Here is a 14,746-nt window from a genome sequence, read left to right as displayed (position 1 = left end):
ATAAGTTCCTTGTCTTACTGGTCCCTGCACAGTCCTCTCACCACAACACGCATGCTGCTAAGACTCTGGGAAACTACAAGGGTGTCCTGGGCTGGTGGCCACGTGCTGGTGTGCGGACAGCGGACCTGAAGGAGGGTTCAGGAGCCTTCGGTCATGGGTTAGCCTGACCACAGGGCTCAGCAGGAATGGCCCCTCTGACCAGTAATCATTGACCTGGAGTTGGACTTGAGGCTGGTGAGGTTGAGATGCGAAAGCAGCTGCAAGCTGGGGCCAAGAGCGTGATATGGGCTGGAAATTGGGACTCCCAAGGAGGGCTCGATACGCGGGGACAGTGGCTCAAAAGGCAAATGGTGGGCTGGGCGCAGTGGCTCAAGCCTGTAATCCCAACCCTTTGGGAAGCCAAGGCAGGCGGATCACAAGGTCAGGAGATCAAGACCATCCTGGTGAACACGGTGAAACCCTGTCTCTACTAAAAATACAAAAAAAAATTAGCCTGGCATGGTGGCGGGTACCTGTAATCCCAGCTACTCGGGAGGCTGAGGCAGGAGAATGGCGTGAACCCGGGAGGCGGAGCTTGCAGTGAGCCGAGATCACGCCACTGCACTCCAGCCTGGGCGACAGAGTGAGACTCCATCTCAAAAACAAAAAAAAAACAACAAAAGCAAATGGTGACATCGAGCAGCAACGAAAGGGTGGCTTGGGGACTTGGGCACAGCTGCAGAGCACAGCAATCCGGCCGACAGCAGTTCCCGTGGAAACACCCGGGGCTCCACACCAGTCATGTGTCATCAGGATCATACTGGTGCCCTGACATGAACGTGCGCCCTGCTGGCCCCAGGCTCACACATGCAGAGCCCCAGCACACTGGAGCATGTTTGAGGAGCTTTGCCAGAACCAGGAAGGGATTTGAAACGTTATCACACAAGGAATAGTTGCAGGACTTGAGGCTTTATCCTGAAAGAAGACGTAGGCAGTCACTTCCAATCATCTAACGAATGAGCTGGTGGGGGGCAGGGGGCGGGCCTCCAGGGGGTCTTGAGAGCAGAGTCGCGCACCCTGGATGGAAAGGCACCACAAGTGACTTTCTCGTCAACTAGGCAAGGTCTCCTAACAGCTGTTGTGCCACGGAGAGGCTGCTGTCCTGGAGGTCCTGCATTCTAAATCACAAAGTGAGGTGACAAGAGAAAGGATCCCTGCAGTGGGTTGGGGAGTGCGTTTTGGAGATTATCATCCTAGATCTACCAACACCGTGATCCTAAAGCCCCTGTGATAACACCAAGTCCAATTTACAGTGTCTTCTTCACGACACTGCACCAAGGTGCTCAAGATGCCCCAGTGCCCCAGAGCGTACCTGGCCAGCTGCGTGTCACCCATGCCATCCTCTCCAGCTAAGGGTCCCCGGATGTTTGACAAAAATCCTGAAAACTGCAGGAGTCAGGCTAAAGAAAAAGGCTGAAAGAAACTGAGCTAGCTCTAGAAACAGAAAGGAATTTTTTTAAGTTATACTTGTCTTCAGAAGTATTCAAGATGATACTGCACTTACGAAATAAAAAATGCTACTAATGAGACAGAGAGCTTGGACATTAAAAATGCAATTGCTGGCATTAAAAGAAGACATTCATTAACATGACTGAAATATAAAGTTAAGAGTATCTTCTAGAATGTAGAATGAAAAGAGACAGAATCAAACCAGGAGAGTCTGTATCTGGCTAACCAAAGTTCTAGAAAAAAAAGAAGAGGGTGAGGACAGTGATGGAATTGTCAGAGAAGGCTTGAAGAAAACCGCCCAGATCTCATCAGACTGAAAGGGCGCTGAGCCCAAGGAGCGCGAGAGCAAAGGAAAGTTACCTTCAAAGCACACAGGAGCCGCGGCAGCCTGGGATTTCCCATCGGCAGCCCTGGATATCAGGAGGTAGGAGGGCTCAGTGTTCTGAAGGCGAGTGATGTCCACAGAGCCCCCGCAGGACAAGGACGCTGGCCACTGCCATGCACGGCTCCCACATGTCAGTGGCTTCCTGCCATATTGGGTTAGTTCTCATATCAAGTCAGACAAGGAGCACACACGGTGGGAAGCAGCAGGAAGGGGCTGACCTGACCTGTGCTCACAGCCCATGGGCCAGTGCCAGTCACATGTCCCAGCCTAGCTGGACCTGTACTCACGTGTCCTCACAGCTCATTGGCTAATGCTTGTCATATGACCCAGCCTAGCTGGACCTGTGCTCACGTCCTCACAGCTCATTGGCTAGTGCCAGTCACATGACCCAGCTTGTCCCTGTGTCACGTGTACTCACAGCTCATTGGCTAGTGCTGGTCATATGACCCAGTCTCCTGTCAGTCTGAGACCTGTGGGAGCCCTGGACTAGGCGGTGTTCCTGGGGGGTGCACTGGCAAGCCCAGGTACTCAACCAGAATGAGAAGATCAGAACTGGAAGTGGTGGCTCCACCCAAAGATGACCATAAGGAAAGTTCTGGAATGAGAACTGGTATGTGTCCTAGAGAGAAGCCAGCCCAGATGGTCTGGGGTCAGGGAGGGCATAAGAGGGGGTTTGGGGGCTGTGGAGTCCACGGAGCACAAAGTGTGTCCAGGGATGGCGTGCTGAAGGAGTGACAGAAGCACAGACTGCAGGAGTCGAGGAAGGCAGAGACACAGGGGCCAGGCCAGGACGGCCTTCCTGTGCAGCAGCCGCTGAGGTGGGACAGGACCGAAAGCCCCAGGGTGCAGGAGCGAGGGGCTCCTGCGATGGGAAGATGGGAGAGCTGGGAGCGTTCTCGCATGCAGAGCTGGTGTGTTTTCTTCCTCTGGGAAGGAAGGAGGGGAGGGCCATACCCAGGAGGGGACAACTAGAAACTTGTTGAAAAGCAGCGTACATAGATCACAGGTCCAAGGACGAAGCAGGTGAACCCGTCCTGTGATTTTAAGCATGAAAGGAGAATGTTTGCCTGGCATGGGGGACTGCCCCAGGGATGGCACAGTTGGTCATCCCGACATAGAAATCGCCTGGGTGGGTGGTGCCATAGCCCGGCCCCTGGCTCTGGGGGCTGACATTACCGTAAGGTCAGGACCACACGAAGCTGATCCTGATGTGTCACTCAGAGAATCGCCCCGTGGCCGAACCCACCCTGGGCGCGGGTGTTGGTGTTTATTAGTGGAGGTACAACCCAGGCTGCTTGGGGGAGGGGAGAAGGAGAGCAGAGGCCCTGCATCTCCATCCCACACCCTACACCGTGGGTGAAGAGGCGAGGCCAGAAGCCGCCCACCAGGAATCAGAGGAGCTCCCAGCAGCACCCACTGAGGAGGACAGTTGCCACAGACCCTAAGCAGGAGCAGCTCTGCCTTCAGGTGCCCAGACCAGGTGCAGGCAGGCAGCCTGGCGCTCCCAGATAAACAAGGCCTGGCAGCCCTGGCCACTGCCCTGCATGTGGAGCACAGCTCCCTTCACTCCTGACAGCCTCATTCTGAAAGCCCTGGAATTCCTGCTGATGGCAGCCTTCCTTGTTTTCCTGTTTTGGAAAGCCTTTTGGAGATTTCTGGAAGGTGGTCTGTGGCTGCGCATCCTCAGCTGGTTGGCGATTCCACCTCAGACCCATCTCACAGGTGTGGAAACTGAGGCTCAGGAGCAGGGACCTGGCCACAAACACACGGCGGTAAGCGGCCGAGCCAGGGCGTCCACAGGTGTCCCTGTGTCCACATGAATCGCCTCCTCTGTGCCTGCCCCATGGGGATGGAGCCTGCAGCCTGGTTTGGGCCGTGACGGGAGTGCCTGGGACGCCTCACACCATGGTGGGGTCTCAGCCCTTCACTCATGGGGCCCATCCCTTTGATGGACTACCTGCTCTTCATGAAATGACGTCGGGACTGGATTCTGAGCTTCGTTGATCTTTGTGTGTTCTGGAAGGCAGTCGGGAGGTGTTCGTGGAACGTGGTTACCGAAAAACACGGGGCTTCTGTCACGGGTGATGTGGTGGAGGTGGCAGCCCAGCCCAGAAGGCGGCCACTCTACATTTTCAGGCCGCGTGTGAAGGCCAGCTTTGATCTACACCAAGGACTGGAGCAGTGGTCCTGGAGATGCACGGGCATCCTCAGAAGGGGGCCAGCAGCAAAGGGGCAGAAATGGAACCACCGGAACCAAGGGGAGGGTCTGGGCTAGCGACCCATGGCGAAGTCCCAAGGGGTGGGTGACATCCGCCTGAAAGAAACATCAGAGAAGAGCAGGGGCTAGAGCAGGACCACAGCAGACAGAAGGAAGCACGGCTGCAGCTCCCAAAGCAGAACCAGAACTCCGGGAACGGGGACCTGGCTGCTGGGGGCGCCATCATGGCCCAGGCCCTGAAGGTGCCTTAGGAGGGCCCTGGGAAGGCGCTGGGACCACGCACACATGGACGGGCTTCCTCTCCACCTGGCCTGAGCCTCATCTTTCAAAACTCAGTAATTCCTCAAAACTCACAAAGCCCACTTTCATGTTTTGCCAACATTTCTCACATTGTGTTGAAATCCTTTTAGGTCCTAGAGATGTCTTAATTTGTTTACTGTTTGGTTTGAGTTTTGCAATGTCTTTCATGAACGTGAGCTTTGAAGCGGGTGAAGCCGAGATGCTTTGAAAGTGGGTGTGTGCCATAGAGAGGCGCCCTTTCTGGAGGGGTCTGCGGGGGTGTGGGGTGCAGGTGGGGTTTGAGGAGCTGTGCACACAGACCTCACTTTCTCCCAGAAACACAGGGTGGGCGCATTCCCAGGGCACTGCAGGTTAAGTACAGTGCTCCAAGGGAATGGTCGGTGGGCATGGCAGGACTTTGCAGCCCCAGGGCAGATATGAGTGAGGAGCTGGCTGCCCACCCTGGGGAAGGTGGTTTGATGTCCCATTCTTCCGCCTGCCCTCAAAGTCTTTCTGCCCATCCCACCAGGAATTCTAGAACAACTTTCTTCCAGGTTGGAGACACCAGGCCTCCAATGACTGGGCCTCCCCAGCTTGGACCAAAGGAGGAGTGAGCTCTGTCCCTAGAAGTCTAGGCACAGGGTCCTGCTCCCTGAGCTGACGAGGAGTAGGCCGTGCAGTCGCGGTCACCAAATGTGGACTCCAAAATAGGTTTGGCTTCTAAGTGAGTTTGCTGCAGACCTCAGAAGGTGTTGCAGCTTCCAAAGCTTGGTGCTTCTGTGATTGCAGCTGTCGGCATGTGGGGTCCTCACAAGGCCAGCAGCAGCCACCATGTTAGTAAGGACCCCTCGTCACAGCTGGGCCCCCGACTTGGTGCCACACACTTCCCAAGGGTCCCGCCCATGGCTCAACACACATGTACATGCACACTCATGCACACGTGTGTGTACTCGCTTCCATGGCCATGGAAGGGCAAGAGGTGCTGTAGGCAAGGATACAGTGGGGGCCACTCTGGGGACAGGTGCCCGGCAGGCAGCCATGTGGTGCTTAGAAAAACAGGCAGGAGCCCCTAAGCACCCTCATGAGGCCTGGCTGTGTCTGAGTCTCCATCTGCACATCTGTCAAGGGGGTGGCATGAGGGGTCAGCACTGCCCAGGACAGCCTGAAGGGGCTGGGCAGAGCCTGGGCGGGAGGGCTCCAGGAAGGTGGCAGCTATGCCCCATGACTTCTGTCTTCTCTGACACAGGAGCTGGCAGTGGCCTAGGCAGCTTGGGGAAGGTGCCAGGCTTGCGGGTTCTGCAGGGCCGGGAAGAGCACGGGGGGCACCCAAGAGTTGGCTGGGGAGTGTGCTGAGCCCAGTTCTCTCAAGGGAGTCACCTGTCATCCAGTAGCGCTGCCCCCATGGCCACCCGGGATGCTTGTCCAGCCTGAGCTGGCTACCCTCAGAGAGGATGCCACTGCCCCCCCAACCAGGGCTTGTTGGGGAACTGCCTTCTGGTGGCTAGGGAGGGAGCCCCAGGGGTGCATCCTGCCTCCCTCCCCTCCCCTGGCATTCCCAGACCACAGAGGCATCCTCTTTCTTTGCCCTATCAAAGCCGGAACCCAAGGGCCTCTTTGCCCAGCAACTAATCCACTGATTACCGGGTGCCCACCCGCCCTCGAGGGAGCTGTTGGGGGCTCCAGGTGCTCCTGGCTGCCAAGTCCCGGAAGCACCATCATCCCAGCAAGATGCTCCTGAGCTGCCAGGCACCGTGCCAGGGCAGCAGGGCCAGGCTCTGGGGAATTCCATTGGAGGGAGGGCGGGAAGGGCCTGCCCAGCCCAGCAGGTGCCTGGTCGCTTGGCTCCCGTGCCAGCCAGGGTTTGGCAGGGCCTTTGATGTGAAGATTCTTTCTCTCTCCTCTATGAGTCCCTAATGTGCTTAAAATCTGGGAGTGGCCTGACAGGGGGGTCCCACACTGCACACCCTCTGCCTGGGTTGGCACAGCCCCTGGGGGGCACCTCCTCACTTCTGAATGTGAGAAGGCCCCGGCTTCAGCAGAGGGACAGGTTCACTCCAACCTGCAAGGGGCTTCTGACAGCCTGGCATAGGGAGGAGGGGCTGTCAATAGCCAATGACAATGACCGCCCTACCGTGGACTCGGCCAGCTAAATGCTGGGACCAGGAGCCGGTGACACCCCGTGGGGGTTCTGCCAGCCTCCAGCCAGTTGCAGATAAACTAATTTTTCTTTTTGCCAAAGTATGTTTCAAGTATTACATGGGATACACACAGACTAAAGAATCATTCGTTGTCTGAAATTTAGATTGAACAGGGACCCTGGATTTGCTAAATCTGGTGCACAGACCCTCGCTGGGTACAGGGAACAGAAGGGTGACTTGAGCAGCCTCTGAGCCGCCCCCGGCCCCCCAGGCCTGTCTGGCCCTGCACTCCAGCAAGAGCTCTGCTTCGTAGCAGCACCCAGGCAGGTGACCACACAGCATTCACTCCGGCCACTGCCATGCCCTGGACAGACCTCCATGCCCACCCCCACAGCTGACACGTGCTCTTCCTGGAACAAATACACGCCCCACCTTGGGCTCCAACCAAGATGCAACTCAAAGTTTGCTCCCTGCCACCCCATGAAACGTGGGCACAATCCCTGCCCTGGAGGCAGGCTGCAGTGCTACAGGTCCCACCAGACCAGACTGCCCGTCTCGCGCATTCCCAACCCAGGGTCTCCACCAGCCTCAGGGCTGTGGCCAGAGCACCGCCACCTCCACCCTACGCTCCTGCCACCTGCCCCTCCCCAGGGCTCACACAGCAGCCCGTGTGCCACCCATGCCTAGGGAAATACCAGGTTCTCTGAGTGGTCTCCCAAAGCCCCTGTCTCCATCCCTAGGGATGTACCGAGTTCTCTGAGGGGTCTCCAGAAGCCTGTCTCCAAGACCACCACCCTTCTTTCCCATCTTAGGAGTGGCACCCACCCCACCCCACCCCCACAGCACTTGGCTCACCTCTCTCCTGACACCTTCCTAGCTCCTGTGGGTCTCAGAGCCGTCCACATACATCTGACCTCCTCGTTCTGCTCAAAAGCCTCCTCCGGCTCCCCAGTGACCTTTGCCTGGAGGCCCAGCTGCTTTCCACAGCACCCAGGCCCTGTAGGCCCGCCCCAGCCCCTGCTCCGCACTCTGTGTGCGCCCAGCCCTCCTGGCTCCCTCAGTCCTGTGTGTCTGTCCTGCAGTTCCTTCTGCCTGGATACCCTTCCCTGCTTCCTGCTGCCAACTCCCCTGTCCGTCCTCCATGCCTTTGGGCCCTCTTCCTCTGTGCCCCCAAGGCCCCGGGCAGCCCCTCCATGGTCCCCCATCTGCAGCAGCCCGTTCCAGGGCTCCTTTGGGCAGGGAGGGCACCTCACTCATCACTGAGATGTGATGCCCGGCTCAGCCCCAACTTGCAGTAAAGCTCTCTCTACACAGTGCTGAGTGCCAGCTCGGGGTCCCCCATCACCCTGGGCTGCTACAGGGCGGGCACTCCGGGCCTTTCCCTGAGAGGGAGTTTCAGGCTGTTCTGGCCCCGGCAGTCCATCAGGATCTGCCTCAACACAGGTGAGCATCAGCAAGTAGCTAAGAAGCAGGGGCTCCACTGGAAGGACGCCCAGGGCTGGAGGCGTGTGTCCTCAGTCTTTTCCAGCAATGTGGGGAGAGCTGTGCTGTGTGGGTGCATGTGTGTGTGTAGATGTCATGCAGGCGGATGCATGGGTGTGCCTGCAGGGATCTGCCTGTGTACAGGCATGTGTGCAAGTATACACATATGCACATGGACACAGATGCATGGTTGCATGCATACATACGTGTGTGTAGGTATACATGTGTATGTATACATGAGCAGGCCTGTGTATCTGCATGTGTATCCACATGTGTACAGGCATGCATGTGCATCTGTGCATGTAAAAATGTAAGCATATATGTGTGTGTGTACACAGTGCATATGCATGTTTGTGTGTGTATGCATGCATGCAGGCGTGCATGTGTGTGTGCGCACAGTGCACATCCATGTTTGTGTATGTATGCATACATGCAGGTGTGCAGGTATGGGCCTGTGTGTGCAGGTGTGTGCAGGCATGTGTACACACGTGAGGGTTGCCCACTCAGTTGGTTTCCTCAGCACAGGCGTGGGAGGAGCCCAGGGTTGAACAGTCTGATGATTCCTGTTTCTCTTCTGCTGAGTCAGTGAACTGGCCTGTGTGTAACACTCCCCCCCGCCCACCTGTGAGGCAGCCAAAGTCCAGATGCTGCTGAAGGTCCCACCGGCCCAGAGTGTCTCAGAGTCCCCTTGAAGGACGTGGGGTGGCCCTGGACGGCTGTTCTCCAGCAGATAGGAATAGTCACATCTCGTGGAGCTGCAGGAGGGGAGGGCGCGCTGACCCGGGAAAGCCTCAGCCAGCCCCCGGCCCCGCCCCCGCCGAGGGTTCGGCGCCGCCAGGTGTCCTGGGCCCCTGTCCTTGCCTAGTGAGTCTTGCTTTCTTAGCTTAAGCTCACCCATGTGCGCTCCTCTGACCGGCTGCGGATCTGCTTTGGGACCTTGCCTGGTGCCCACGGAGCTGTGTCCTCACCTGTGGCGCCCTCCCCTGCAGCCCAGGCTCTCCGGGCTCGGGCGGGCAACGGCGCCCCCTGCTGGGCGTGGAGAACGCACGTTGACGTTGGGCCCAGAGTTTTCTCTTTCCTGCAGCACCTGAGCCGGCCGGGCAGGCGCCGGACAGTCAGGGGGACCAGAAGATGCCTGGGCAGCCCCGTCCTGAGCATACAAGCAAGGGAGGGTGCCTGACCTGCTGCGGAGGGCAGGTCGCATCAGACCCAGGGGCGTCTGAGCCGGGCCCTTGCTGGTCGATTTGGGCAAATAGAAAACGTCCCAGTGGTTGCTGTCACGGGAGGCTCTCAGAGCTGCTTCTTACCTGGCCCGGTGGTGCAATGTCCCTCAGGCAGAAGGCCCTCCGGACGGGGGTGAGTCAGGAAGAGACACAGCCCCGCAGCATGACCGGCTCCGTCCTCAGCTAGGACAGCCTGGGACCGTGCGCAGGGATCCCCGGCCTGTGGGGACACTGTCCCCAGGGAAGCAGCCTTCCCCTTCCCCGTGCAGCCCCACCACCCTTATCCCCAAGGTGCTGGCAGAAGCTTCCGCCTTGTGGACCCCACATGCAGACAGTCCTGCAGCTCAAGGTTGGTGGCAGAGGTGCCGCAGTTGGGCCTCCGTGTGCAGCCCCAGACCTGTTGCCTCTTGACGGTGGTAAGTGATTTATGGAGGAATGGCAAGCACAGGAACCCAGAGATGGCTTCTGTCTACAGAGCCAGAGGAAAGACTCAGCCAAACTGCAAGGCCAGGGAAAGCGTGTAAGAGAAAACTCGAGAGGTACCTGATGTTGCTTCAGTGTCTGAGGCTGGGACTAGAGGGATCAGGGTGGGCTTCCTGGAAGAGGTGAGACAGCAGGTGGTGCTCGTAGGACGCACAGCACTGGGGCCTGGAGTAGGAGAAGGCATGGATTGCTGAGAAGCAAGTCACACAGATGGTCGCTAGGGGCAGGGCTGGGCACAGCTGGCACTAACATTCAGGGAGAAGTGGCCAAGGAGGCTGCCAGCAGGAGTGCCACGTCTGGCACCTGGAGCACAGCGGGCACTGGGCTGTGCCAAGATCCCACGTCCTGCCAAGTGGCAGCCCTGGGGACAGCCAGGGAGAGTGCTGCTCACTCACACCTCTGCGCCCGCTCTCCCACACCTCTGCGCCCGCTCACCCACACCTCTGCGCCCGCTCACCCACACCTCTGCGCCCCCTCCCCCACACCTCTGCGCCCCCTCCCCCACACCTCTGCGCCCGCTCCCCCACACCTCTGCGCCCGCTCCCCCACACCTCTGCGCCCGCTCCCCCACACCTCTGCACCTGCTCTCCTTTGGTCCTAGACGTTCGGTGCTGCAGACTGGGAGGTCTTCCAGATCGGGGAGAGGATCTTCCTCGCTGTGGCAAACAGTCACAGCTACGATGTGGAGATGCAAGTCCAGAATGATTCCTATGTCATCAACTCCGTCATCTACGAGCTGAACGTGACCGCGCAGGCCTTTGTCAAGTTCCAGGACATTCTCACCTGCAGGTATGCGCCTCCACAGGCCAGTGGGAGGTGGGCTGATCTCTGGGAGGCCCACCATGTCGGAATCCCCGTTAGGCTCATCCTCACCACCCTTCCCGTGGAAAGACTGGCCTGGGGACCTTCCTGTGGAAAGAATGGCCTGGGGACCTTCCTGTGGAAAGAATGGCCTGGGGACTTTCCTGGCCTGGGGAAGTCAGTGCCGCCCTGAGACACAGGTTTGGTTCCCAGAGCCGGGTGCTGTGTGCGGAGTTCTGCCCCTTCACACCCATTACCTCCTTTCATCCGAGCAGTGGAGGCAGGAGGGGGCTTCATGCCCGTCGTGCGGAGGGATAGCCGAGGCCCCAGAGGGACAGGTGCGAGGTGCAGGCTTCGAGTGCCCGCTGCCTGCCAGTGCCAGCTGCCACCAGACATGATTACTTCCTTCCCCCGATGTTGCATCCTCCCCGACAACAAACACCAGGACACGGAGACTGGCCTGTTGAGACAGATGTGAGATCCAGGGAACATGGAGGGTGGGTCTGTATGTACGAGAAAGTGATGGTTCCAGACCGACACGCTCCGTGGAGCCACAGGAGGTTGCGTGGGCACCACATTTTGGACAGTGGGCACTGAGAATCCACAACCATCCTGACCAGTGTGGGGCGTCCTCTGGGGTGGAATTCCGGTCTGTGAATAAACCTGCAATCGAATCCGTATTACCCAGATCCCAGAGCCAGGGGCCATGGGTCAAGCTTGGAGCTGGAATCTGGCCCATTCCCATCCTGGGATGGAGCAGGCGGCTTTCCCAGGTTTCCTCGGGTTTCATGCACTCCTATTTCATTCGGTAACAATTCACCTGCCCCTCCTGGGCACTGGGCTCTAATCTCAGCTTGAGACACACAACAACACATACCTTTAGACCCTTCGAGGGGAAGAGTCTCCAAGATGAACTGCTCTGTGGAAAGGGCTGGGTGAGGTGCAGTGAAATCTTGTGTCCCCAGTGCGGAGGAGCGAGCCGGGCTGCTGTGTGCCGCTCAGCTGTGCGTGCCCACGGACGTGCAGAGAAGACTCGGGAAGGGAGTGCCCTCTCCGTCAGCAGTCACCCTAGGACCGGGAGGGCTGCAGGGGTATGTAGACAGGCCAGGAAGGACTTTCCCTATTTGCCCTGTTACTTCTGAACTCCTGGCTTTACAAAGGATGACAATGTTAACTTACTAATATCTTACTTATATGATTTTTAAAAATTAAAAAAAGAACACTCATAATAAAGAAAAAGAGCCAGCGGCGGTGTCTGCTGGGGGCACTGGGGATTCCGGGGTGACCTGCCTGTGGGCTCCGTGGCCCCTGCGTGGCCTGGCAGCCATGGCAGGAGAAACAGGCACGGGGCGGCGGTGGCAGTTGTGTGTCCCCAGCACGAATCCACGCCATCCAATGTCAACGCCGAGAACAAAACAAACATTAGGCTTTTTAGAACAACATTTAGAATAAGACAAGTTGGAGAATGAATTGTGATTAAAAATTAGTCATGGACATGATGCCCAGTCTAGAAACAGATGAGGCAGACGCCTCGGGATTTGAAAGCTGCGGGAACTGACAGAACACAGCTACACACTCGCGACTTATGGCCCTGTCACCACTGGACAGTGGTATGGACAGTTTATGAACTAAATTATGAAACACAGAAAGTACTTACCAATTAATTAAGGTAATGTTTAATAATTACCATCAAAACAGCACACACAAGTCAAACTCCTAGCCCTTCTACCCAGCATGGGGAATTCCCTACACTTCCCGGAGACGTGATGTGGCCTCACCAAGTCCAAAACCCTATTCAAGGGCGCTGAGGGGTTTTGTGGCTTCTGTGTGTAACCTTGGCTCTGACTGCCTTCAAATGGTCGCTTGTGTTTGCTTTTTAGATTCAGTAGTTCTATTAAATCCACAGATATGTGCAGCCATGGCTGCAGACAACTCTGGAACATTCTCATCCCCTCACAAGGAGCCCCCCACACCCTTTTCCAGCCCCTCCCTCCCAACTGGGCACCCCCGGGCCCACTTCCTGTCTCTGTGATTTCCCGTTCTGGACACTGCACAGAAATGGACTCGTAGAGCCGTGGCCTCTGTACCTGGCTTTTTCTCGCAGCACCGTGTCCTCCGGGTTGGTGGTGTGGCCGCGCGGCTCAGAGCATCCCCCTTCTCATGGCTGAGTCACACTTCATCCGTCCATTTGTCCGATGATGGGCATTTGCCAGAGGGCGTGATTCTGAAGAATAACATCTGTCCTACAGCGAGTGTGACCCAGGGCTGCTTTGGAGGCAGAATCGGGCACTAGATGCCTTATTTTGTGGTGAAACCGAAGCCGGCTTCTGATGTGAGCCTCGGTGCAGCCGGACAGGATCTTCCACCACTGGTACATCCGACGTGGCCGCTTGTCTTCCTCGGGTCTGGGTTTCAGAGCTCAGATCCGACTGAGGAGTAACCCCGCGGATTCACACTGACCCGGGGCCCGCGGCCGTGCCTCCAGACCAGAGCATGTGATCACAGGCGTCCTCGTCCTCCTCCCAGCGAGCTGGCACGGGCTGCATGGGAACCAAATCATAACCCACCATTAATGGAGGTGGCTCCAGATGTCACCCTGACTGACCGAAGGAGTGAGGAGCCCAAGGCCCCATGGGCTCTGCCCGCCCTGCCTGTCACTGGACACCTCTGTGATCCCTCCCTCTCCCAAGGCCCTGTCTGAGCCCCTGCTGCAGGCCGGCCCCACAACTGCCTGCAGGGAAGCACCGGGATGAGGCCCCTCTGCTGCCTGAACTGGCCACAGCCCTGAGGCTGCTGAATACAGAGGCACCCGCCTGGCCTGCATGTCAGCAGGACGCCTGCGTGTGCATGGCTTCGACCTCCATTTCCTCATCTTGAGATGTGGGGCTGACGCTGACAGCTCGGCAGGTGGGCTCCTGGGGAGGAAAGGATCCAGGGGAGCCGCTCCTCAGACCCCTCAAACCGAGCCATCCCCAAGCACAGATGCATCCTTGGTAAATTCAGGTGAGACTCCTAAGACAGGACACAGCAAATTTGTTTGCAACAAGAAACAGCTTCTGCTTCTAGGAGAACATCTGTGAACGAGCAGGTCCTGCAGGTCCTGTAGGCACCTCCTGGAGTGACCTCACGGCCGCTGACCTCACAGCTGAAGACACAATGCTGAGAGAAGAAACCAGGCACAGAGGCCACAGCACTGTGACGCCATTTCTGCACAGTGTCCAGAGCGGGAAACCAAGCTCCTGCCTCCAGCAGGCACCAGCAGCCTGAGACTTTTTCTCTGATTGTTTCAACCTCTTAAAAGTGGACTTTTGTACCCCGGTGTTCATAGCAGCAGCATTCACAGTAGCCACATGGAGGAAATTCCCCAAGTGTCTGTCAGCGGATGGACAAACACAACGTGTCCATTCACACAGCGGAGCGTTACTCGGCCTTAGAAAGGAAGGCGATTCTGACACACAGTGCGACACGGATGAACCTTGAGTCACTGGAGTCTCAGCTAAGGCAGACACAAAGGACAAATACCGTGCGATTCCATTCATATGAGGTCCCTAGAGTGGTCAAATTCATAGAGACAGAAAGTGGCGTGGTGGGTGCCGGGGCTGGGGGGGGGGGGGGGGGGAGGGGGGAGGGGGTGATGTTTACTGGGTGCAGAGCTTCGGTTTTGCAGGATGAAGGCGTTCTGGAGGTGGATGGTGGGGGCGGCCACACAGCAGTATGAATGTGCTTAATGCCCCTGATCTGTGCACCTAAAGATGGTTGAGGTGGGAAATGTTATGTTATATGTATTTTACCATAATTTAAAATTTGAGGCCAGGCATGGTGGCTCATGCCTGTAATCCCAGCACTTTGGGAGGCTGAGGTGGGCAGATCACTTGAGGTCAGGAGTTCAAGACCAGCCTGGACAACATGGTGAAACCCTGTCTGTACTACAAATACAAAAATTAGCCGGGCGTGGTGCCGCACACTTGTAATCCCAGCTACTCGGGAGGCTGAGGCAGGAGAATCGCTTGAATCCGAGAGGCAGAGGTTGCCGTGAGCCGAGATCTCGCCACTGCACTCCAGCCTGGGTGACAGAATGAGACTCCATCTCAAAAATAAAATAAAATAAAATTTGAAATTTTTTTTAAGCAAACAACTAATTTACATTTTCCTGGAATAGACCAACACATATGTGACTGTGAGAAAATCACTCCCCACTTTGGCCCCGGCTCCTCCTCTATAAATTTTGGAGGTAGCTTCTGGCCAATCC

General features: G+C 57.1%; 1 protein-coding gene and 2 long non-coding RNA genes across 5 annotated transcripts in view, besides 2 other annotated features; 1 reads left to right on the top strand and 2 right to left on the bottom strand.

The window, feature by feature from the left end:
- TSPEAR (thrombospondin type laminin G domain and EAR repeats) overlaps positions 1 to 14,746 on the top strand; it is a 213,680-nt gene that overhangs the window by 191,889 nt on the left and 7,045 nt on the right. For both annotated transcript variants that reach the window (NM_144991.3, NM_001272037.2), the window contains one exon: positions 10,298 to 10,485. In NM_144991.3, coding sequence (NP_659428.2) covers positions 10,298 to 10,485 — 188 coding nt within the window. The remainder of the gene's footprint in view (positions 1 to 10,297; positions 10,486 to 14,746) is intronic.
- TSPEAR-AS2 (TSPEAR antisense RNA 2) lies at positions 707 to 2,469 on the bottom strand. Of its 2 annotated transcripts, NR_026547.1 has the most exons (3): positions 1,849 to 2,469; positions 1,352 to 1,425; positions 707 to 1,056 (listed from the first exon to the last, which is right to left on the bottom strand). It is a non-coding gene; the product is annotated as a TSPEAR antisense RNA 2 (long non-coding RNA). The 2 variants fall into 2 exon arrangements; NR_026548.1 differs by lacking the exon at positions 1,352 to 1,425.
- TSPEAR-AS1 (TSPEAR antisense RNA 1) lies at positions 3,109 to 13,640 on the bottom strand. The gene is made up of 7 exons (NR_103707.1): positions 13,356 to 13,640; positions 12,585 to 13,037; positions 11,375 to 11,647; positions 10,755 to 10,957; positions 10,278 to 10,432; positions 9,757 to 9,861; positions 3,109 to 4,187 (listed from the first exon to the last, which is right to left on the bottom strand). It is a non-coding gene; the product is annotated as a TSPEAR antisense RNA 1 (long non-coding RNA).
- Positions 8,911 to 8,960: a silencer, noted in NCBI's record as "silent region_13385". NCBI's record gives its function as "represses an Ori minimal core promoter by ATAC-STARR-seq in GM12878 lymphoblastoid cells {active_cell/tissue: GM12878}" and the evidence as "EXISTENCE:reporter gene assay evidence [ECO:0000049][PMID:35858748]".
- Positions 10,098 to 11,297: an enhancer, noted in NCBI's record as "CDK7 strongly-dependent group 2 enhancer chr21:45928270-45929469 (GRCh37/hg19 assembly coordinates)". NCBI's record gives its function as "activates an origin of replication core promoter dependent on BRD2, BRD4, P300/CBP, MED14 and CDK7 cofactors, with strong dependence on CDK7, by STARR-seq in HCT116 cells {active_cell/tissue: HCT116}" and the evidence as "EXISTENCE:reporter gene assay evidence [ECO:0000049][PMID:35650434]".

The sequence above is a fragment of the Homo sapiens genome, chromosome 21 (assembly GCF_000001405.40).
Source record: "Homo sapiens chromosome 21, GRCh38.p14 Primary Assembly".
Taxonomy (NCBI): Eukaryota; Metazoa; Chordata; class Mammalia; order Primates; family Hominidae; genus Homo; species Homo sapiens.
This window is presented reverse-complemented; position numbering and strand designations above follow the sequence as displayed.